The sequence below is a fragment of the Homo sapiens genome, chromosome 10 (assembly GCF_000001405.40).
Source record: "Homo sapiens chromosome 10, GRCh38.p14 Primary Assembly".
In the NCBI taxonomy this organism is placed as follows: Eukaryota; Metazoa; Chordata; class Mammalia; order Primates; family Hominidae; genus Homo; species Homo sapiens.
The window spans coordinates 49,911,622-49,936,332 of record NC_000010.11 but is presented as its reverse complement, the minus strand read 5'-3'; the positions used below and the strand labels follow the sequence as shown (position 1 = coordinate 49,936,332).

At 38.5% G+C, this 24,711-nt stretch overlaps 1 protein-coding gene across 15 annotated transcripts in view, besides 1 other annotated feature; it reads left to right on the top strand.

The window, feature by feature from the left end:
• Positions 1 to 24,711, top strand: part of PARG (poly(ADP-ribose) glycohydrolase) — a 123,749-nt gene that overhangs the window by 5,695 nt on the left and 93,343 nt on the right. For 8 of the 15 annotated variants that reach the window (NR_130168.3, NR_136756.3, NR_136755.3 and 5 more), the window contains exons 2-7: positions 1,191 to 1,257; positions 2,170 to 3,156; positions 4,050 to 4,233; positions 13,664 to 13,786; positions 13,914 to 13,997; positions 20,342 to 20,416. Coding sequence is in view for 7 of the 15 variants with exons in the window: in NM_003631.5 (NP_003622.2) it covers positions 1,191 to 1,257; positions 2,170 to 3,156; positions 4,050 to 4,233; positions 13,664 to 13,786; positions 13,914 to 13,997; positions 20,342 to 20,416 (1,520 nt within the window). In the remaining 8 variants the exon portion in view is untranslated. The remainder of the gene's footprint in view (positions 1 to 1,190; positions 1,258 to 2,169; positions 3,157 to 4,049; positions 4,234 to 13,663; positions 13,787 to 13,913; positions 13,998 to 20,341; positions 20,417 to 24,711) is intronic. The other 7 variants (NR_136752.3, NR_136754.3, NM_001303487.3 and 4 more) reach the window with 5 other exon arrangements.
• Positions 9,950 to 10,450: an enhancer, noted in NCBI's record as "H3K27ac hESC enhancer chr10:51133929-51134429 (GRCh37/hg19 assembly coordinates)". NCBI's record gives its function as "activates a minimal SCP1, AML or CMV promoter by ChIP-STARR-seq in primed H9 embryonic stem cells {active_cell/tissue: H9 hESC(primed)}" and the evidence as "EXISTENCE:reporter gene assay evidence [ECO:0000049][PMID:30033119]".

Here is a 24,711-nt window from a genome sequence, read left to right as displayed (position 1 = left end):
CCATATTTCTACTTAAGGCTGTCATCATTTTTCAAGTCTCTCAAGCTCAAAGCTTAAAGTCACTTTTAACTTCCCCTATTATTGTGAAGTCTGTAATGACTCTCCTCACTTTTACTACTCTCACAAGGACTAGTTTATGTTCTTGGCCAGTAACTGTTCAATCTAGTGGATCATCAGAATCACTTTTGGAAAAAAAAAAATAGATTCCAGCTCCCCTCATGCCTTCATCCTACTCACATATAGATTCTGATTCAGAAGGACTGGGGTGTGGCTGGCTTCCTGATGATCCAGATAGTTTGGGAACCACTGACCTGGACTAGTAGCTTCCTCCCTAGTTTCTGGCAATAAGCTCTTCCCTCTTGCCCCTCAGATTTATCCTCCAGGCTGTCATGCATGACTGTGAGCCTCCTAGATGAGAGGAATCATGTCTTTCAACACATTTTTTGTGCTTCTCTTTGTGGGTCATTCAAGATCCTATTGTATGGTATGATCCTGGCTGACTTTTCAACCATATTTTCTTTTGCTTTCTTTTTAAGTTCTTTATATTTCCCTGATATTGGTGCCTTTGCTTATAATTTTCTCTTTATGTGACTGCATGTTTACTTTTCAAGGCATAAGTCAAGCCTTACCTTTTCCGAAGAAATCTTACCGATTATGCCCATGTTCTCCTGTTCACTGAAGTAGTGTCTTCCTCAGAAATAACCTTAATTCCTTTATCAGGACCTCTTTTAATAATCATGATAATTAAGAATCAACATTTACTAAGCGTAAACCAGATAATGCCCTAAATGCTTTACATGAACTATTTTTACTTAATTAAGCCTTATCTCATGAGATAGTTATTTTGCATGTTTACAAATGAGGGATCTGAGATACAGAGAAATGACCCCTCACAGAGTAACATAGGAAGCTAATGGGAGAATCAGGATTTGAATACAGATGTTCTGATTCCATAGCCTATGCTCTTATCCATTAGGCCATACCAACTCTTTTAGGCACCAGTCATTTTCTACCCTGTGTCATATGTATTAACATTTATGTTCCTGTCTTACCCATATACTTGAGGGCAAATACTTGAGTTATTAATCTTTTGTTTAACCTGTAGAACCTAGCATAGTTCCTTGCATGTACAATATGCTGTATATGTTTTATATTTGAAGGAATGTATGAATATACATTTTTTTTTATAGTTTTCAAACAAAAGACTATTACCAGTTGGATGGACACTAAAGGAATCAAGACAGCGGAATCAGAAAGGTATAGAAACATTCCTATGTAGAGAAATGAATAATAATACATGGATGTTTTATCTTGTTGCTTTAATATTTTCTCTCTTTGTTCATGCTTTTCTGTTCTCCTTTATCTATGTTAATTCAAAATCAACTTATAAGTAATTTTTTAGAGAGTCCTGTATGCCAGGGACTGTCCTGTATACTTGAGATACCAAGATGAGAGAGGAATAGTCTGTGTCTTTTTTTTTTTTTGAGATGGAGTCTCACTCTGTTGCCCAGGCTGGAGTGTAGTGGCGTGATCTCGGCTAACTGCAAGCTCTGCCTCCTGGGTTCACGCCATTCTCCTGCCTCAGCCTCCCAAGTAGCTGGGACTACAGGCGCCCACCACCACGCCTGGCTAATTTTTTGTATTTTTAGTAGAGATGGGGTTTCACCGGGTTAGCCAGGATGGTCTTGATCTCCTGACCTCGTGATCTGCCTGCCTCGACCTCCCAAAGTGCTGGGATTACAGGTGTGAGCCACTGCGCCCGGCCAGTCTGTGTCTTTAAGATACTTACAGTGTAGCAGTGGCCACAGACACAAAAACACATAATTACTGCCTGGTGTGATAGATGCAATAGTAAAGGTATGAGCAAGGCACAGTGGTGGTTAGTGTGTAGAAGAAACAAATGTTCAACTTTACCTTTGGTCCCTAAAGGAAGACTGCACAGAGAGGTGAGTGACATTTATGACTTGAAGGAAAGGCGGGTGTTTGCCAGACACACAGCTGCAGGGAGGGCATTAGGGATCACATACAAAGACATGGAGTCATAGAAGACATGCTGTGTGCTCAGCTGACCACAGGGAGTTTAATTACTGCTGTGACACTGGGGGTATGATTGGATAAGTGACTTTTTTGTATTATAAGTTGTTTTTAGTTCTTTCTGTTCTCTTGTAGTTTGGATAGTAAAGAAAACAACAATACAAGAATAGAATCCATGATGAGTTCTGTACAAAAAGATAACTTTTACCAACATAATGTAGAAAAATTAGAAAATGTTTCTCAGCTAAGTCTTGATAAGTCACCCACTGAAAAAAGTACACAGTATTTGAACCAGCATCAGACTGCAGCAATGTGTAAGTGGCAAAATGAAGGGAAACACACGGAGCAGCTTTTGGAAAGTGAACCTCAAACAGTAACCCTGGTACCAGAGCAGTTTAGTAATGCTAACATTGATCGGTCACCTCAAAATGATGATCACAGTGACACAGATAGTGAAGAGAATAGAGACAATCAACAGTTTCTCACAACTGTAAAGCTTGCAAATGCAAAGCAGACTACAGAAGATGAACAGGCCAGAGAAGCCAAAAGCCACCAGAAGTGCAGCAAGTCTTGCGATCCTGGGGAAGACTGTGCAAGTTGTCAGCAAGATGAGATAGATGTGGTGCCAGAGAGTCCATTGTCAGATGTTGGCTCTGAGGATGTTGGTACTGGGCCAAAAAATGACAACAAATTGACTAGACAAGAAAGTTGCCTAGGAAATTCTCCTCCATTTGAGAAGGAAAGTGAACCCGAGTCACCGATGGATGTGGATAATTCTAAAAATAGTTGTCAAGACTCAGAAGCAGATGAGGAGACAAGTCCAGGTTTTGATGAACAAGAAGATGGTAGTTCCTCCCAAACAGCAAATAAACCTTCAAGGTTCCAAGCAAGAGACGCTGACATTGAATTTAGGAAACGGTACTCTACTAAGGGCGGTGAAGTTAGATTACATTTCCAATTTGAAGGAGGAGAGAGTCGCACTGGAATGAATGATTTAAATGCTAAACTACCTGGAAATATTTCTAGCCTGAATGTAGAATGCAGAAATTCTAAGCAACATGGAAAAAAGGATTCTAAAATCACAGATCATTTCATGAGACTGCCCAAAGCAGAGGACAGAAGGTAATTTTCTCTCAGCAGTATCTCTCCAATAGCATAATATGCTTTATAGTTTTGTAAGGGAGTTTAACGAAGCTGTGATTTCTAGTAAAGCAAAGAAATGGTTTTGTTTCTTGTTAACTACTTATGCTAAATTTAAACCTAGACTCCAAAGTTTAAACTCTAAAAAGGCTAGAAACAGAAAACAAGAAATAAAATAAATATTAGAAATCAGATTTTTAGTTTCATGAGTTTCCTTTTGGTATTTATGGGAATTGCTAGAACATGAAAATACTAGGTTGATAGTAGCTACTGTTTCTTCAGCCAGACATTCTTCTAGACCATTGTATATTACACTTTTTTTTTTTTTTTTACACTTTGTTTAATGCCGTGACAGGCAGACAGATGGTATTATACTCACTAAATGAGATAACTGAGATTTGGGTAAGAGAATTCACTGGAATCATGTACCTTCTGAGTGGTAATGCTGGGATTTAAATCCAGGTGTGTCATATTACAAAGCTTATATTTTGCCGTTACCCCATATGGAATCTTAAATCCCATCCATGATTTCTGTGATTTGAGTTTCCTGAGATAGTGCAATCAGCATGCAATAGTGAGTTCACTTCATTGAAAATTACTGTGTAGATGATACTGTGAACCATGACTCATTTCTGTTTTGAGAAGGTGATTTACATGTGTTTGGAACTTTCTTCCACAGACTGTTGAAAATAAGCTCTTGAGTTTTATAAGCTTTATAGGTTTTTCTTTTGATTGTAAATATAATACATAACGAAGTGAGTGACCAAGTATGGCATACTTTAAACAATAACGTCTGGGTAAGTTTTGTGCTTGTGTATCTAAGGGAATTAAAACAGTAAATAATTTGTGACTAAATACATTTGTCTTGACCTTAGAAAAGAACAGTGGGAAACCAAACATCAAAGAACAGAAAGGAAGATCCCTAAATACGTTCCACCTCACCTTTCTCCAGATAAGAAGTGGCTTGGAACTCCCATTGAGGAGATGAGAAGAATGCCTCGGTGTGGGATCCGGCTGCCTCTCTTGAGACCATCTGCCAATCACACAGTAACTATTCGGGTAGGTAGCACCTCTTATCTATGATGAGAGAAGACTGGAAGTCCTTATTTATTGTGATATTTATTAAGTGAGAAACAGACCAAGGCTTAGAAAGTTCTTCTGTTTTCTGCATATATAAAATACTGAGAATTCTACAGAATGGAGCAATATAATGATAACTTACTTAGTATAGAACTTAACAAATTAGCAATCATTAGCAATCATTATCAGCTGATGGTGAAGATAATTTTTTTTTTCCAGTATTTTTAAGAAACCTCATTGGATTCTTTTTTTTTCTTTTTACTCAGTTGATAGTATTGTGTACTGACTGCAGAATCCTGCATTCGTCCCTAAATTTCAAAATTACGTATGGTTTAGTGTCCTTAAATCATTATCCAGCTGTGCCTTTTTTTTTTTTTTTTTTTTTGCTGGAGACCAGAGTTTTCTTATTACTCAAATCAGTCTCCTCGAGCATTCGGGGATCAGAGTTTTTAAGGATAATTTGGTGGGTTGGGGAAGGCCAGTGAGTCGAGAGTGCTGATTGGTTGGGTCAGAAGAAGAAATAATGGGAAGCTGAAGCTGTCCTCTTGTGCTGAGTCAGTTCCTGGGTGGGGACAAGATCAGATGAGCCAGTTTATCCATCTGGGTGGTGCCAGCTGATCCATCAAGTGCAGGGTCTGCAAAATATCCCAAGCACTGATCTTAGCAGTTTAGGGCGGGTCAGAATCTTGTAGCCTCCAGCTGCATGACTCCTAAACCATAATTTCTAATCTTGTGGCTATTTTGTTAGTCCTACGGTGGCAGTCTAGTCCCCAGGCAAGAAGGGGGTTTCTTTTGGGAAAGGGCTGTTACCATGTTTGTTTTAACATTATATTATAACATTATAACAACATTGTAACAAAACATAACAAAAGACTAACATTATAACATTATAACAAAAGACTATAACGAGGGCTATGGGAGTTACAAGCCAAGAACCTGGACAAAAACCAATGTGAATATCATAACACTATACTAACAGAAACTGTACATATTAAACATATTAAATAATTAAACCTCCTTCCCTGCTTCCCCTAGTTCTTAGTAACCTCTTTTGTACTTTTTGTGTGTTCTTGCTTTTAAAAAACAACTTCATTGAGGTATATAAAAATTCACCCATTTTAAGTGCTCGATTTGGTGATATTGAGTCCATTTTTTGAGCTATGTGACCATCACCATAATCCAGTTTTAGATTTCCATCACTTGCTGGGTAGTTTTAAACATTCATCTCATTTATTAGTCAGGTTTTATATAGATTTCACACGCAGTACTAAAAAAAATTGACATGATCCCTTTTAACATACAATTTAGTGTAGATGTGATTAACTATTTTGAAATTCAGAATTCTTTAGCATATTTAGAGGTGAGAGTAACATTGAGCAGAGTTATGGGGTTTGAGCTGAGCTCTAAAAGATAAGCATAAATTTCTGAGGTGCAGTTAGTAAGATAGGAGACTTCCAGACAGATATATAAGATTTATAAGAAAAGGCTGTGTGGTTGAAAACTATCTGTTTTAGAAATGGAAAACAGTGCCTTTGCTGGAGTGTGGAATTTGGGTGGGGAATGAGGAAGAGACTTGAAAATTGGATTGGGTTCATATCACAGGGGGCTTCAAGTGCCAGGAACCAGACTTAAGTCATGTCTGTGCAGACAGTATCTGTGCTGTAGCAAGATTAATCAGACAGCTGCATGTAAGGAAAACAGAAGTGAGGATACACTGGGAGACAGGAGAGGTAATGTAAGAGCCCAGATAAGAGTTAAGTAAGGTAACAGTATGTACCGAATTGTGCCACATAGAGGTGCTTCAGGGGTTCTTTTGAAGTTTGATGCAAATTTCATTTCTAAATTATATTTTTAACAGTGAAAAACTTGTTAAAAAAGAACTGCACAATCAAATTTGAAGATGCTTAATTCCACATTTGAACCAGCTGTTTTTGCCAAGATAACCCATTTTTGTGCAGACCACAGAGCCAAGGTTCCCTTGCTACCATTCATCTGAAGAGTTAGCTTAATATCAAAATAAAGTTTGTAAAATGTTACCATTTGCAACTGTATAGATGGATGAATCAGGATTTTCTTAATAATGTGTAAGAGAGATAAATGTAAACTAAATGGTAGATTGATGTAAGCTTTAACTCTCATCCCTAACTCCTACTTTCAAATTTTGTATTTAAAACTGTCTCATCATCACTTATTGATATTAGAGTAAGTAAAAGTTACTATAAAAACTGTATTTCTTTTTTTTTTTTTTTTTTGATGGAGTTTTTTGCTCTTGCTGCCCAGGCTGGAGTGCAACAGCACGATCTCGGCTCATGGCAACTTCCACCTCCCGGGTTCAAGCAATTCTCCTGCCTCAGCCTCCCAAGTAGCTGGGATTACAGGCATGCACCACCACGCCTGGCTAATTTTGTATTTTAGTAGAGACGGGGTTTCTCCATGTTGGTCAGGCTGATCTCAAACTCCCGACCTCAGGTGATCTGCCCACCTCGTCCTTCCAAAGTGCTGGGATTACAGGCGTGAGCCACCGCGCCCAGCCAAAAACTGTATTTCTAAAAATAGCTTTGGTGTGACTTTAAATGACTTTATGTCAAATTTCTTAGGGAAAAAAGGGATTCTGCTATTTTAAAAAGCTTGAAAATCACTGAGATAATAATCATGGGGATAAAAAAGAAAATAGAAGGTTGCATTATTATGAGGTAAAATTGATAGAATATGGTGAATTCCTAAATATGGGTGACAAATAAAAAGGAGTTGTTGATAATGCATGTAAAATTAAGGTTCTTAGTCTGGATTACTGAGATGATGTTAATGGTGAGGAACTGGAGAAAAGATGGACAGAGGGTGTTAAGTGATATTTTAGCTTTTTCTCTTCCTCCTCTCTCCCACCCTCCCACAAAGAAAACCCAAACCATCCTGTACCGTCATTATATCTCTCTAATATCTACCATCTCTACCATCAAATAATCTCTATAGTTAATGTTTCTTTCTTAGATACCCAGGACCCTTGAGTTTTTAAAATCTTCTATTTTATTACAACAGCAATGCAAGACTATTGTAAAAAATACACAACTATTATATGAAAGCATGTAACTCAGAAAACCCGTCTGTCAGTCTTATTCCCAGAGTTTAACAGTTTGTTGTATTTTCTTCTAGATTCTTATTCCTGAATATGATAATAAGATATAAATGTAATTAACAGTTACTTAATAGCAGTGTTTAGTTACATTATTAAGATTCCAGATGTTAATAGTTACAGATTTTGAAATAGTAAAATGAAAGTTGGGCATGATAGCTCACACCTGTAATCCCAGCACTTTAGGACGCCAAGGCAGGAGGATTACTTGAGGACAGGAGTTCAAGACTAGCCTGGGCAACATAGGCAGAGCCCATCTGTACAAAAAGTTAAAAAATTAGCCAGGCATGGTGGCACATGCCTGTAGTCCTAGCTACTTATGAGGCTAAGGCAGAAGGATTACTTGAGCCCTGCAGTTTAGCCTGGATGACAGAGTAAGACCCTGTTTCTTAAAAATAAAACCAACATTTAGCTTTAGAAATGTAAGGCAATCTGAAATTGCACTTAGTGGTCGATTTCCAACAAACACATGCATACGTGCGTGCATGCAAACACAGAGCCACACACAAAGCATATTACATGTATGTTCCCCTTTTGTGAAGCTCAACTGGTACCTATGCTGTTTTATCAGATGATATGGAACATCCTTATAAAATCACCTTTGGGACGTTCTTATGAGGGTGAAAATACTTTCAGCATAACTGCTGATTCTGTCACATCTGACTTTTTTTTTTTTTCGAGATGGAGTCTTGCTCTGTCACCCAGACTGGAGTGCAGTGGTGTGATCTCGGCTCACTGCAACCTCTGCCTCCCGGGTTCAAGCGATCCTCCTACCTCACCCTCCCAAGTAGCTGGGACTACAGGTGCATACCACCAACCTTGGCTGATGTTTGTATTTTTAATAGAGACGGGGTTTCGCCATGTTGGCTAGGCTACTCTTAAACTCCTGACCTCAGGTGATCACCCGCCTGGGCCCCCCAATGTGCTGGGATTACAGGTGGGAGCCACTGTTCCTGGCCTTCTTCTTTTTTTTTTTTTTTTTAAAGAGACAGGATCTCACTCCGTCACCCAGGCTGGATTGCAGTAGCAGTGGTGTGTGATCTTGGCTCACTGCAGCCTCCAACTCTTAGGTTCAAGCAATCCTCCCACCTCAGCCTCCTGAGTAGCTGGGGTTACAGGCATGTGCCACTACATGTGGCTAATTTTCTAAATTTGTAGCTATGTTGGCCCAGGCTGATTTTGAACTCCAGGCCTCAAGTGATCCTCCAGCCTCAACCTCCCAAAGTGTTGAGATTGCAGGCGTGAGCAACTGTGCCTGGCCACATTTGACTCCATAGACATTTCTTTTCTCCTTGGAATATACTCATCCTTTGGCTCCGTGACACAATATAATCCTAAATTTCTTTCTTCCTCCTTAGCCAATTCTTATTTTCCTTTTAGGCTGTTCTTCTGTATGTGACAAGTAAGTGTTGTTGGAGTTCCTCAAGCCTTTTTCATAGGTCCTTTTTTCTTCTGTCTCTCTCTGGTTGGTCTCACCCACCCTTGTGGTTTTAGTGATCACCTATATAGATGACTCACAGGTTTATTTTTCTTTCTTTCTTTCTTTCTTTCTTTCTTTCTTTCTTTCTTTCTTTCTTTCCTTCTTTCCTTCTTTCTTTCCTTCCTTCCTTCCTTCTTTCCTTCTTTCTTTCTTTCTTTCTTTCTTGACAGAGTCTTGCTCTGTCGCCAGGCTGGAGTGCAGTGGCGCAATCTCAGCTCACTGCAACCTCTGCCTCCCAGGTTCAAGCGATTCGCCTGCCTCAGCCTCCTAAGTAGCTGGGACTACCGACGCGCGGCACAATGCCTAACTAATTTTTGTATTTTTAGTAGAGATGAGGTTTCACCATGTTGGCCAGGATGGTCTTGATCTCTTAACCTTGTGATCCACCCTCCTCAACCTCCCAAAGTGCTGGGATTACAGGCGTGAGCCACCACCCCCGGCCCAGGTTTATTTTTCTTAAGTTGCGGTGTTACTAAACTGAACCTGAGTACACTCACCCAGTGCAGTAAAGCCAAACACCGACACTGACGTCTGTAGCAAGAGAAGTAGGGGTGTTTGTTTGCAGGGCACCAAGCAAGTAGAATAAGATAGCTATTGCTTAAAACCTGACCTCCCCAATGGCTTACAAGCAAGATTTTTTAAAGGCAGAGATATATTCTAGGAAAGCAGAAGTTATTGGCAAAATCATACATCAATACGTGGGGGTTATATATTGGTTTGGTCCCAAAAGGCAGGATATCTTGAAGTGGGGTTGCAGGATTCGGAGATTCTTTGATTTGCGATTGGTTAAGGAAGCAAGGCTTTGCCTAGAAACTTGGGATCAGCAGAAAGGAATGTTAAGGTTTGGCATGTGGGTGTCACTGTCTCCAGGCCCCTCAGGAAGAAATTTAGAATGAAGAACGTCAGTCAGAGTTCAGTCTTCAGTTCCCCCTTATGTGATGATGGTGGTTGGCACTTTCCATTTGGCGGGGGTCTGAGTTTCTGAAAAATAACTCAGGGACCTATGTCAAGATGTTATCTTTATTTTCTATAGGGAGCAACACATCTTGTGGCTCTGACTTCCATGAGTGGCTATTGGTTTAAGCTGTTATTACCTCCTTGCTTATCTGGTGGCTCATTTACTTCTCAAGGCTAGATAGGTGCCTGGAATTTCCCTTGAAGCTTTCAGATATGATGAGGTTTCTCTTCAAATAACCTGATCAGTCTTTTATTCTTTAATTCATAGTGCCCCCCTTCCTTTTTTCCTTTTTCTCCTTTCTTCCATTTTGCCTTTGTTAGATGCCCAGGCACGTCACAGTACCAAGCATTATCAATACCAGCTCACATTCCTTTCCTTATTTGGAAAGAGAACTAACTTTCTAGCTTATTACAGACATGCCTTCCCCTTTCCTCTCCGCTTTCTTTCACATGCCCACCTTATCTAAAAAAATCAAATGTTTAGCTAACCGGAATTAGTTTAGATTGTACGACCCGACCCCAGCCAATGGGGAAAGGGTACAGGGGCAGGACTTGCATCAGGAATAAAGGCTCTTGTGCCCCTTTGTTCAGGTGTGCTCTCATGGCGACTGGCCAAGGAGGCACTCCTCTGTGCAGAAGTAAAATTGCTTTGCTAAGAATCCTTTGTTCAAGTGTTCAATTTCCTTAGGATTTTGAGCATTATTCCTAACAAAGGGATTCGAGATTTTCTTTTATTTCCTTGCTTGAGGGCACTCCTGGCAGGCCCCTAAGAGGGCTCCCTGCTCTGTCTCAGTAGATGTTTTTACGAAGCTGCCTGTTTGACAGTCTTCTTTCCATAGTTCTTCCCTTTTTAAGGAATGTTGGTGAATAGAGTCAAACTCTGTAAAATATTTAAAGAAATTTATTCTGAGCCAAATATGAGTGACCAATGGCCTGTGACACCGCCCCAGGAGATCTGAGTACATGTGCCCAAGGTGGTCAGGCTATAGGTTGGTTTTATATGTATTAGAGAGGTATAAGACGTCAATCAATACATGTAAGATGCATATTGATTTGGTCCAGCAGGCAGGACAACTCGAAAGGGGCTTCCAGGTCATAGATTCTCTGCTTGGCAATTGGTTAAAAGGGTTATTATCTAAAGACCTGGAATCAATAGAAAGGGATGTCTGGGTTAAGAAGGGTTTCTAAAGACCAAGGTTTTATCATGCAGTTGATGCTTGTAGGTAACAGGCTTCAGAGCTCTTACCAGATGCTTCATTACTTCTCTCCTGGACTGGATCAGGGAAGACCTGGAAAGGGAAGGGGATTCTCTACAGCAGCAGTCCCCAACTTTTTGGCACCGGGGACCAGTTTTATGGAAGACCATTTTTCCATGGGTTGGGGGATGGTTTCAGAATGAAACTGTTCCACCTCAGATCATCAGGCATTTGTTAGATTCTCATAAGGAGTGTGCAACTTAGATCCCTCCCATGCACAGTTCATAATAGGGTTCTTCGTCTTATGAGAATCTGATGTTGCCACTGACCTGACAGAAGGCAGAGCTCAGCCTTGCTCACCTCCTGCTATGCAGCCTGGTTCCTAACAGGCCATAGACCCCTAGTCCATGCCTGTCTGGATTCCGGGGGGTTGGGGACCCTTGCTCTACACAATGTAGATTTTACCCACAAGACACAGTTTAGCAGGGCCATTTCAAAATATTTCAAATAAATACATTTTGGGGTAAAATACTTCCGTTTCTTTCAGAGCTTGGTATCTGTCATGTTGGTATCTTAATTGCTATAAAGAGTCTGCCTTGTCAGTCTTAAAGTACCTGTTTTAATGTTAATGCTGGTCAGTCACATCTAAATTTCAAAGGGAGGAAGGTATAATGAAGCATGTCCAACCACCCGTTCCCATCATGGCCTGAACTAGTGTATGGGGTTTGCTTTAGAATGCCCTTGGCTGAGGGAGGGGCCCATTCAGTTGGTTGCGGGGCTTAGAATTTTATTTTTGTTTCACCCTTTTCCTTGTTAATTTTTTAGCCTTTAGAGTTAAGCTCAGTTGCCACTTCCTCAAGGAAGCCTTACCTAAGTTTACCAGATAAACTAAATCTGAGCTGGTCTCATAACACAGTGTTCCTCGTATTCATAACATATTACAAGTGAAATTATATATTTATGTGATTATGCTCTGCAGTGAAGTACTCATACATACTACCACATGGATTAATCTTGAAAACATTATGCTAAGTGAAAAAGGCCAGACACAAAAGGCCACATATTATATGATTTCTTTTATATGAAATATCCAGAATAGGCATAATGTTAAACTTTAAACCATAATCTCTTTCTCTTACCAGTGGCAAATCTATATGGGTCTGCAGCAATGTTAATACTCCTCCTTAGAAGAAAGGATTTGATTGAGAGGCATAAGGCAGAATGAGAGACCAAGGCAAGTTTTAGAGCAGGAGTGAAAGTTCATTAAAAAGCTTTAGAGCAGGAATGAAAGGAAGTAAAGTACACTTGGAAGAGGGCCAAGCGGGCGACTTGAGAGATCAAGTACACAGTTTGACCTTTGACTTGAGGTTTTATATGTTGGCATGCTTCCAGGGGGTTGTGTCCCCTTCTCCCCTGATTCTTCCCTTGAGATGGGCTGTCTGCATGCGCGGTGTGATTACTGGAGTTGTACATATGCTTGCTTGAGGTATTCTTCCCTTACCAGTTGAGTGTTCTTATAAGGTCATATACCAGTTAAACTTTGCCATTTTGCTCCCTAGTACACATGCTGGAGCTGACTTGCCCAACTCCTAAGATCTTAACAGGAAGCTGCTGATCACCAATTTCAGATTTTTCTATCTATTGGGTGACTCCTTTCCCTGGCGCCGGCTGCTTCCAATTATTTTACAGAGGCAGTTTCACAACTCCCTGTGCATCACTTGAGGGTTGTCTGACATTCCTGGTAGTGGTAGGGGCCCTGTCCTGCCCTGCTCATGTCTGACTGGCTACCTACTGTACCACTTCCTCAAACATTTACTTAATAGTTATTATAGTAGCATATGTGTGTATATATATATTTGCATGTGTACACGTACACATGTACACATACCAGGTTCTATCTTACATATTCAGAATACAAAGTTAATATGGTTATTTTCAGGAAGTTTGGGATCTAGTGAGGGAGAGGAAGACAAGTGTGCTCTAGCATGATAATAATCTAACAAAACAAGATAAATAGCTGACTACTTTGAAGTTTCTAAAGACTTCATAAAGATAATGAAAATCTGGCAGAGCTATGAAGGTGACAATAGAGATTTAACCAGATACAGTGGGGGAGGTGGCAATTGGTAGTAGTGGTATTAAAAAGAGAGGCCACAGTAGTATGTATACAGGCATATAAATATGAAAATGAATTTGCTATGTTTAAGGAATTTTAAGTGTTGTTTAAGATTTGTTTGGAATGAATGGTGTTTTGATAAGAACGTATATGAAAATCAGGATGACACTTAGAATCAGAGTATAGGCGTTATAGCATTAGAAGCCTGGGAGTTCTTTAGAAAGGGTTTTATGGGGGCTAGATGTGTCTAGCAACAGCTGGAGTTAGGGAGAAGGATAGGAAACACTTAGTAAAAGCTGAGGCAAGGAAGGATTCCTAGGGGATATGGAGCTAGAATATATACTATATCTGGTGACTTGGACCTGGTTGAATGGAGGTGAGGAATGGGAAGAACTGAAGGGTTCTTTGGTGATTTCTTGCCTGGGAGCTGGTCTCTATTTTATAGCATTTGCTTTGGTTACTTAGGATTATTTTATAGAAGATACATTTTGTTTTTATGCACTGACAATTTTGTTTACCCTCAATTTCAGGTAGATCTTTTGCGAGCAGGAGAAGTTCCTAAACCTTTTCCAACACATTATAAAGATTTGTGGGATAACAAGCATGTTAAAATGCCTTGTTCAGAACAAAATTTGTACCCAGTGGAAGATGAGGTAAGAACAAAACCGAGATTCTTTTAGTCTCTGAAAAATGGTTTGGTACTTGCTTGTTTGACCTTTGATTCTGTGATGCAAAACAACTTAGAATAGCTTCCTCATATGTTTTTCTTTTTTCCAAAAGAATGGTGAGCGAACTGCGGGGAGCCGGTGGGAGCTCATTCAGACTGCACTTCTCAACAAATTTACACGACCCCAAAACTTGAAGGTATGTTGTTTTTACCATGCTTGCCTGTTTATGGGCCCTGTGTCTCCTCTTTCAAAGACTTTTTGGTCTTAATAGACTCAGGTAGCAACATTGTTTAGATGCAAAATGCTTGCTTCCTGGCACTAAGGAAGGCCCCTTAGAGACATTCTACTAGGAAATGAGAAGAACTGAGAGTTGCAAATGCCTTGCCTGGAGCCACACAGAATAATTTGGAGAACCAGGAATAATACCTCTGTTTCTTGATTCCCCATCCAATTTCCTTCAGTGCAAGCTTCTCTTTCTTTTTTTTGTTTTAAAATTATCATGTTTCTGAAATATCTTTAAAAGTAAATCAGGAAAGAATTATGACTTCAGCAATATTTGCCCAAAGGGAAGCTGAGTTTCCCAATGATTAAAGTATATGTTAAGCATTCTGGTTTTTATTGCCCTTAATATAGCTCCTAGCAGTTTAATAATTTATTAATCTTATATTTTGGCAATAATTTATTTTTGATATATTTATATTTCATTTATGACTGCAAGGGTAACTAGTAGATTGTTTTTCTAATATCTAAAATATGAGTGAGAGTGTGTGTGTATATATATATATTTATATTTGGGGGCACTATAGCCATGAAAACTTTTCATGTTTTTATAAATATAAACAGTGACAGAATTTTTTATACTTCTATGAAAATGAGTTTTATTTTCTTTCAGAGACTTAATTTGTTGTATATAGTTTCTCAGCTTTCTTAATGTTTTCTACTGATACTTGCAAGTTATTGTTAAACTTTCTATACCTTTCTGTAGCTCCTGTTTTTTTTCTTTACATGGAAAACATTGATATGTTATATCATAATGTATTTTGAAGGCTTTATTCCTTGGGGACAGTGTTTCTCAATCTTCTAATGGGCTCTTTTTTTAAAAAAAGAAAAGAAAAGCAGACTGTTTATTTTTCTTTTTTACAGTACAAATTGATTTATTTAAAACAGTTACAAAAAAACAAAACAAAATAGAGATTATCATTAGAATTATTAATGGTTTGTTAAAAATCAGGTAGGATTACGGGGTAAGAAATGGTATTAGGTGGGAGGAGCACCTGACTAGTTCTAAGGCTTTAGATACAATGCAGTTGATTACGTATTAATTCAGCCATTACATACTGGGGATAGTAGATGGGGGATCAGTAATTTATCTACAGGGAACTCCTACACAGATCCATGAAGACCTCCCCAGTGCCATCCTTTTCCACTCCTTAGACCCTAAAACCACCTGGGTGACAACATTTCCGTCCTTCTTTCTCCACCCCATTCCCTATCCATATATTCTTCCCACACCTAAGGTGCTGTGCAAGCTGAGAGCAGTCTGCTCTCTGCAGCTGGAACATATACTGTTTTGGCTACAGGGATCCTGTGTGACTAAGAAGGTTTTAGGGGCAGCCTTATTTTAATATTTCAGGTTAGCCATGAGTACAGTCAGTCCCTTCCCTAACACAATTTAGATTGTCTTGAACACAAGTATCAGGTGAGGGATCAACCCTGCCTCCAGCAATACCAGCAATACGCTAACCACTCAGGCTCACAGCTACAAAAAGCAAACCCTTTAAATGGAAACAATCTCAAGTTCTGCTAGAGTTTGCTTAGTTTTAGTATAATGTTAATTATGTGTATGCAAACATACAACTAAATATAAACTCCATATATATACGTATATGTGTATATATATACATGTATATATATACGTATATATGTACGTATATATGTATATATGTGTATATATATACACGTATATATACGTATATATGTATATATATGTGTATATATATACATGTATATACATATATATGTGTGTGTGTGTGTATATATATATATATATATATATATATATATATATTTTTTTTTTTTTAATTTGAGGCTGGGTCTTGCTCCATCACCTAGGGTGGAGTGCAGTGGGGTGATCACAGCTCACTGCAACCTCTGCTTCCCAGACTCAAGCGATCCTCATCTCAGCCTCCTGAGTAGCAGGGACTACAGGTGTGTGCCACCATGCCCAGACTAATTTTGTTTATTTTAGTTTTTTGTAGAGACGGGGTTTCTCTGTGTTCCCTAGGCTGGTCTCCAACTCCTGGGCTCAAGTGATCCACCTGGCCTTGGCCTCCCAAGGTGCTGGCTGGGATTATAGGCATGAGTCACTGCTCCCAGCTAACTCCTTATACCTGTAGTGCTTATACAGCTATATCAGTGTGATTTTTTTTAAAATTTCAGGTATAATGAACCATCATTTGATTTGTATTTATTATCACAGTGAAAACAATTTGTAGTCATTATTCCTTTTTTTGCACAGAAATTTTCAAACCGCTGATCCAAACCCCAAAATAGTATGCTGAGAAATTCTTTAAAATACTACATAAAGAAGAAATTATTTTGCAATTATTACTTTTCCTACTAATCATGAACAGTTGATGGATGTTGGTGGATACAAAGATGGGATCCTTATATAGAACATCAGATCGCAGTGGCACGATCTCAGCTCACTGCAACCTACACCTCCCTGGCTCAAGCGATTCTCATGCCTCAGCCTCCTGAGTAGCTGGAAAAAAATCTCAAGTTCTGCTAGAGTTTACTTGGTTTTAGTATAATGTTACAGGCATGTGCCACAGGTGCATGCCACCACACTGGGCTAATTTTTTATATTTTTTGGCTGAGACACTGGGTCTTGCCATGTTACCCATGCTGGTCTCAAACTCCTGAGCTCAAGTGATCCACCTGCCTTGGCCTCCCAAAGTACTGGGATTACAGGCATGTAATTACCACATCTGGATGAAGGTTCGTTAGAATTTAACATACCTGTACTGTGGTGTATAGTAGGACAGCTCAATCTTTTCACTATTTTTTCTATTAATAGTACTAGCCTTCATTCGTACAGCGTGTTGTTATTTGGCCATTGTTCTCTAAAAACAAAATTATAAACTCACATAGAAGCAGGCTGCCCAGGAATACTACCCAGAGTCCATTTGATGAACACTATCTTAGGTTCTTTATTTTTATTCTTCTAAACAGAGGCTGTTTTTAAGAATTTTTATATTTCTTCAACTGCAAATAGAATAATTATAGTGAGGCCAGGTGTGGTGGCTCAAGCCTGTAACCCCAGCACTTTGGGAGGCCGAGGCAGGCAGGTCGCCAGAGGTCAGGAGTTTGAGACCATCCTGGCCAACATGGTGAAACCTCATCTCTACTAAAAATATAAAAATTAGCCGGGCACGGTGGTGGGTGCCTGTAATGCCCGCTACTCAGGAGGCTGAGACAGGAGAATTGCTTGAACCCAGGAGGCAGAGGTTGCAGTGAGCCGAGATCATGCCACTGCACTCCAGCCTGGGCAACAAAGAGCGAAACTCCATATTTGAAGAAAAAAAAAAGAATAACTATAGTGTTTTAACTTACACAGTCTGCTTACTTCTCTAGCAATTCCTTAGTGCACCATGATTATTTCAGGAAGGGGTAATTGCTTTAATCTGAATTTCCTTTTTGCGTTTCCCTTATGGTAGATTCAATAGAACAGAGTAATCCATCGAGATATTTTTCTATCTGCTTATGGTAATTGTTTCCTTTGCTGAAAGAATGCTTTGAGAGAGGAAGAGGGAAACATTAAATCCCTCTAATTGAATATAATGATCTTTTTGCTGTTCATATACCATTTGATGTTGGATTTAGAGGGATTAGAGACATTCAGAATTTTAAAAAGTAATAGTGTCCTCAAAAGTTGATTTACACAGTAGTACTTATATAAATAATGTGTGTGATAATTTGCACAGAAAGAATTTTTTGTGCTTATTGTGAATTATGAACCATAAAGAACTTATTCAGTCGTTGATAACTCAAGAGTACAGAGTAGTATCCAGTTTTTCTAATGACAAGCAATCTCATGGTGGACTACTTTTGAGACTTGAAGACTGAAGTAAAAATAAATACAAGCTAAAGCTTAATGCTAATTATAAAACACTAAAATAATCAGAGAATTACAGTGAAGAATTAGAATGCAATTGCTACTTAAAATTTTTTTCCTTACCAACTTTGAGGAATAATAACATATGGATAAGAAAGTTTATCCTTTTAAAGTGTGTCATTTGATGAGTTTTGACATTTACACATACCCATGAAGCTCCCATTATAATCAAGATACAGAATGTTTGTATCATCCCCAAAGATTCCTCTCCCCACTTTGCAGTCCATTCCATTTTCTGCTCTGGCCCCAGACAACTACTAATCTGTTCTTTTTCACTATAGTTTACATTCTGCATGAATTGAATCATAGTGGGTATGTCTGGCTTCATTCACTCAAAATGAAGATAATTTTGAGATTCATCCATGTTGTTCAATATATTGATAGTTTGCTCCAGTATATGCATTGTTTATTCCTTCACCTATTGATACACATTTCTATTTAATACTTTATGAAGTTTTGAAATTAGATACCAGTGATTGGAAAAAAAAATCCTTAAAATCTTTTAATTTTTTTTTTCTTTCTTTTTTTTTTTTTTCTGAGACAGGATCTTGCCCTGTCACCCAGGCTGGAGTGCAGTGGTGCAATCTCGGCTCACTGCAACCTCAACCTCCTTTGCTTAAGCGATCCTCCCATCTCAGCACCCTCATGTAGCTGAGACTGCAGGCACGCACCACCATGCCTGGTTAATTTTTGTATTTTTTTCTAGGGGTCTTGTCATGTTGCCCAGGCTAGTCTCGAACTCCTGGACTCAAGCGATTCACCTGCCTCGGCCTCCCGGAGTGTGCTATGATTACAGGTGTGAGCCACCGTACAGGCCAAAATCTCTTAATTCTTTTTTCTTTTTTTCTTTTTTTTTTTTTTTTTTTGAGACGGAGTCTCGCTCTGTCACCCAGGCTGGAGTGCAGTGGCACGACCTCGGCTCACTGCAACATCTGACTCCCTGGTTCAAGTGAGTCTCCTGCCTCAGCCTCCCGAGTAGCTGGGATTACAAGCATATGCCACCACACCCAGCTAATTTTTGTATTTTTATTAGAGACATGGTTTCACCATGTTGGCCAGGATGGTCTGGATCTCCTGACATTGTGATCCGCCCACCTCAACCTCCCAAAGTGCTGGGATTACAGGCGCGAGCCACTGCGTCCAGCCTAAAATCTCTTATTTCTTAATGGAAAATGTTATGTATGACTTGTGAGTGAAAAATAAAGACTCTTTCACTCTTTCTGGCTATCTTATTTTAGGGAAGATTTTTCTTTTTCTTTTATCTTCTCTTCTCTTTTCTTTTCTTAAGGAACTTGGATGTCCCCTGATTCCAAGTGAATAAGACACATTTTGTTGGCTCATCTTTTAACCTAGATACTTAGTATGGCATGAAGTACTATTCAGGAAGCTTTGACAGAGTATTAATTTTTTAAAAACTTATTCAATGATAACGAAATTTGGAAGATTTATAGTAATAATCTAACAGTGGTTTTCAGACCTGTGTGCCTCAGTAAAAAAATTTTGAGTGTGTGTTACCAATATAAATAGTCATTTATAAATTCTACATATCTATTACTTTATTAATGTAGTATGTACAGTATAAAATAAAACCAAAGTAGATATTTAAAAGGATGAGATAAAAGGTAATTATAAATAAATAGTTGTTTCTGCACATCTAGTGGATTGCCTTATGCATACCTGACTCTGGAAACCAGATGTATAGTATTGCCTATTCAAACAGTTAAAAGCTACACCAGTAGATGGCATAATATTTTGACTTTTCATTCTACATAAATGTGTAATTTATGTGAACTGCTGGAGGAAGATAATAATTTATATATAGTATAAAAATACTTTATAGTAAAGGAAAAAAGACAGTTTTTAAATACTTTTTTTCTAATCTCCTCATCCCCATGAAATTTTTATTTTTTATTTTTTACAAAAAAATTTATGCCTCAACCCTATTAACTGACCCATGAAATTTTCATACTACAAATCTGCTGTGTATGTCTGTGTATATATAATCTGACGCTTTCAAGGACCACCAACAATTGTGATAACTAAGTTTATTTTTTACCCCTCAAGATCCAGTTTTTGTCTATTTGGAGTATATCACCTTATTTAGAATGCATGCTTTAGGGTGTAATTGTGTTTTTTCACCTATTACTTGACCTTTCTAATCTCATTTTTTTAAGTGAGTAATAAATTAGTATTCATTCTGTTTGTCTGTAGCTACTGATGTCCATATCAGTAGCAGGGGGAGGTAGTAGGAAGCTTGTCTAACATTATGAAATGTACTGGAGGTAATTCATAAGAGACAGGCTCTTCATAGGTCATTCACTTGGCCATACCATGACGTTTTTTTGTTTCTGCATTTTCCACAGGATGCTATTCTGAAATACAATGTGGCATATTCTAAGAAATGGGACTTTACAGCTTTGATCGATTTCTGGGATAAGGTAAAAGTATCCTTATTTCTTTATGAAAATATTATTGACAACTCAATAAGAAGGTTTGAGAAGAATACCCATAATTCTGCCACACTAAGATAATTATCTTTTAGTTTTATAAATTTGCTGTTATTTTATATGTATGTTTTAGGTAAATACAATTAGGAGTTAATATTGAATTTTGTTTTCATCTCTTAGAATACACATTTTCTGTTATATTTTCATACCATTATCAGCATTATCAAGGAATGTATAATAGTCCATGATTAGATTTTGAGAATATAATGGTTCTTATATTCTCAAACATACAGGTTGCATCCAGTTTTACCTTCAGTTACATTGTGGCAACATCATTATATATGTATATATATTTTCCCATATTTGATATTGTTTCTTTAGGTGATTTCCAGAAATTAGATGACTAAGTCAAAGGGCACAAAACATTTGTTTAAAAATCTTTTAAAAACTTTTGTCATAAAATCATTTTTCCACAGATTAATTGTAGCAATTTACTATGCTGCCAGTAGTGGATAAGAATATCACTTTCATAGTACCATTAGCAGAGAGAGTCTTTTCATTTGTCTATTGGCCATTTCTATATCTTCTTTGGAGAAATACCTATTCAAATTTTTTGTCTTTATTATTGAATTTTAGGCATTCTTTGTATATTTTAGATGCAGGTTCCTTACCAGATATATGACTTGCAAATATTTTCTCCCATTTTGTGTTTTTTTTTTTTCTTTTTCTTGATGTTACACTTTGAAGCTCAAAAATTTTTAATTTTGACAAAGTCAGTTTATCATTTTTTTTCTTCTGTTTTCGGGATCATATTTAAGAAGCTAATCTAAGATCATGAAGATTTATGTTTCTTCTAAGAATTTTATAGCTTTAGCTCTTACACTATGACCATTACCCATTTTGTGTTAATTTTTGTATATGATGTAAATTAGAAGTCCAATTTTATTATTTTCCATGTGAATATCCATTTCGAGTTAATTTTCATATGTGGTGTAAGGTAGGAGTTCAACTTCATTATTTTGCATGTGGATAACAAGTTGTCCCAGCACCATTTGTTGAAAAGACTCTTCTATCCCGTGTTGAATTGTCTTGGCACCTTTTCAAAACCAGTTGACGTAAGGATTGTTTCTGGCCTCTCAGTTCTGTGACACTGATCTATATGTCTATCCTTGTGCCAGTACCACACAGTCTTGGTTGCATAGCTTTGTGGTCAGTTTTAAAATCAGGAAGTGTGTGTCCTGTAGCTTTGGTCTTTTTCAAATTTGTTTTGGCTATTTTTGGATTCTTTGCATTTCACTCTGAATTTTAGGATTAATTTGTTACTTTCTGCAAAAAACCTAGGTGCTAAGGGCAACTCTTACATCACGTTAATAGAATCCAAACTAATTCTGCATTTCGAGATAGTGCCAGTAATTTCAGAATTATCTTATTGAGCTTTTGACCCATATGGCTTTTACAAGGCAGGCATAAATAATGGAAGACTTATCCTTGTGTCTGGAAATTGGATATCTCAGATATCCTTGAATCTAAATGTCTTTCACTGTAACAGCAATGTAATATCTGATATGATGAAAAGTAGATCAAACCGATATAATCGTTATCCTTGTCACTTAAGTTATCAGGACATAACATTTGTATTGTAACTTTCTGAGCTTAAATTGGACATGATGGTTAATTGGGGTAAGAAGTAATGTATAATTTGATACCTTGAGATGGCAGTAAAACATGCCATTGGTTACAATACCTCTGTCACCTTGCTATGAAGTAGTCATTTGTTTCTCTCTTCTTAATCAGAATACTCAGACAGGACCTTGTTTCCCCTTTATCTGGTGACCTTGCCCAGAAGCATGCCTGAAACGGGTAATATATAGCAAGTTTTGGTGTGTTTAGTGTAGATCATAAATATGAGATGATTACTCAGGTGCTGATGATGGTTTTACAGTTATTTAGGGAGAAGAGTCCTTGCGTTTTCGACCTTCTAATATTTATTTATTTATTTATTTATGAAATGGAGTCTCACTCTGTCACCCAGGCTGGAGTGCAGCGGCACAATCTCAGCTCACTGCAATTTCTGCCTCGCGGGTTCAAGCGATTCTCTTGCCTCAGCCTTCCAAGTAGCTGGGATTACAGGTGCCCGCCACGTTGCCCGGCTAATTTTTATATTTTTAGTAGAGATGGGGTTTTGCCATGTTGGCCAGGCTGGTCCCAAATTCCTGACCTTAAGTGATCCACCCAACTCGGCCTCCCAAAGTGCTGGGATTACAGGTGTGAGCCACCGCCCTCAACCAGACCTTCTGATTTGTATTTACTTTGTAAACATATGGAGGGTTGGAGAAGTCCCCACAACTACACTAAGTATTTATTTCTTGTTGTATTCTTTTTAAGTCTTTGCCCATATATATGATGTCTTATAGCTAGACATAAATGTATGTTTAAAATTTATGCTGTATTATAAAATCTTCTGTGTTATATAATTTTATAATGTTTAGCCTTAATGGTTGCAATAATATTCCATCAAATTGATAAATTGTCTGCTCATCCATTCCTGTGTTTGTTGGAGATTTGAGGAAATTTGTGTAAAGCTTATCTAGAGATTTGAAGGGGGTTCTCCCTGTGATTGTTTGCTATTCTGTCATTATCAGTGTACTTAACAAAATACCTTGGATGTTTAATACACTTGTTTATTTTTCTATCCATCAAATCTCCAGATATTATTCTAGAACTTTAGCAAGTCATGACCCACAGGGACAACATTGCCCACGCTTGCAGTGGTTAGTGAGAAGTAAGTGTCAGACATACCTATATAGGTGGGATTGGTGGAAGAAAAGATTTTTAGCGCAAGGGAAACAATTGTTTGCTTTGGTTTTAAGTTGAAAATATATTTGGTTTGCATTTTCAGTGTCTTATGTTCTGTACTAGGAATGCTTGTTTATAAAGGGTTCTTTTATTTTTTTATTTAAAGCCAGGCTATAGTGCAGTGGTGCTGTCACAGCTCACTGCAGCCTCAAACCTCCGGGGCTGTATACTTCCTCCCACTTTAGCCTCCCGTTTAGCTGGGACTACAGGCATGTGCTACCACACCTGGCTAGTTTTTTGTATTTTTTTGTAGAGATAGGGTTTCACCATTGTTACCCAAGCTGGTCTTGAACTCTTGGGCTCAAGCAATCTTCGCTCCTCAGCCTCCCAAAGTGCTGGGATTATAGGCATGAGCCACTGTGCCTGGCCTATAAAGCGTTCTTTATTTTCGAGATGGATTCCAGCTCTGTCACCAGACTGGAATGCAGTGATGTAATCTCGGCTCACTGCAACCTCCACCTCCTGGGTTCAAGCCATTTGCCTGCCTCAGCTTCCCGAGTAGCTAGGACTACAGACGTGCGCCACCACACCCAGCTAATTTTTGTATTTTTATTAGAGACTGGGTTTCACCATGTTGGCCATGATGGTCTCGATCTCTTGACCTCGTGATCTGCCCGCCTCGGCCTCCCAAAGTGCTGGGATTACAGGCATGAGCCACCGCGCTCGGCCTTAAACTAAGGGTTCTTAAACATTGTTTATTAGCAGGGTTTCGCAATATTTTCAATTTTTATTTTCTAATTTTTTGTTGTTTTGAGACAGTATCTCACTCTATTGCCCAGGCTGGAGTGCAATGGCATGATCTCGGCTCATTGTAACCTCCACCTCCCAGGTTCAAGCAATTCTTGTGCCTCAGCCTCCTGAGTAGCTGGGACTACAGGCATGCACCACCACACCTGGCTAATTTTTGGATTTTTGGTAGAGACAGGGTTTCACTATATTGGCCAGGCTGGTCTCGAACTCCTGACCTCAAGTGATCTGCACACCTCGGCCTCCAAAAGTGTTGGGATTACAGGTGTGAGCGGCTGCTCCCAGCCAGAATTTGGAAATTCTTTACTTAAATGTCACATTGAACTCTGAGTGGCTTGTTTTATTAAGGAAAAGAATTAAATTTGACATCGTATTAAGATTAATATTTTGCAGTTACGTTTATTTTGAAGCTGTTGATATTTATCTCCTTAAAACCTTCCTTTGATTAATTCTGTAAGTAAAGGATTTTGTAACCCAAACTACCTTACAACGAGAGGAGTTCATGTCAACAGTCATTGTGAATCCATGGTACTGTAATTACCTACATTCTGGTCTCTAGCACAAGAGGTAAGGTGCCCAGAAGCCCACCCTGGTGTGTGAGCACCTCTACTGGAATGGAAGTAAGGAGTATTACCTAAGCTTTTATTAGTTTTTCAGAAACCAGCAAAGATCACAGAGACCAA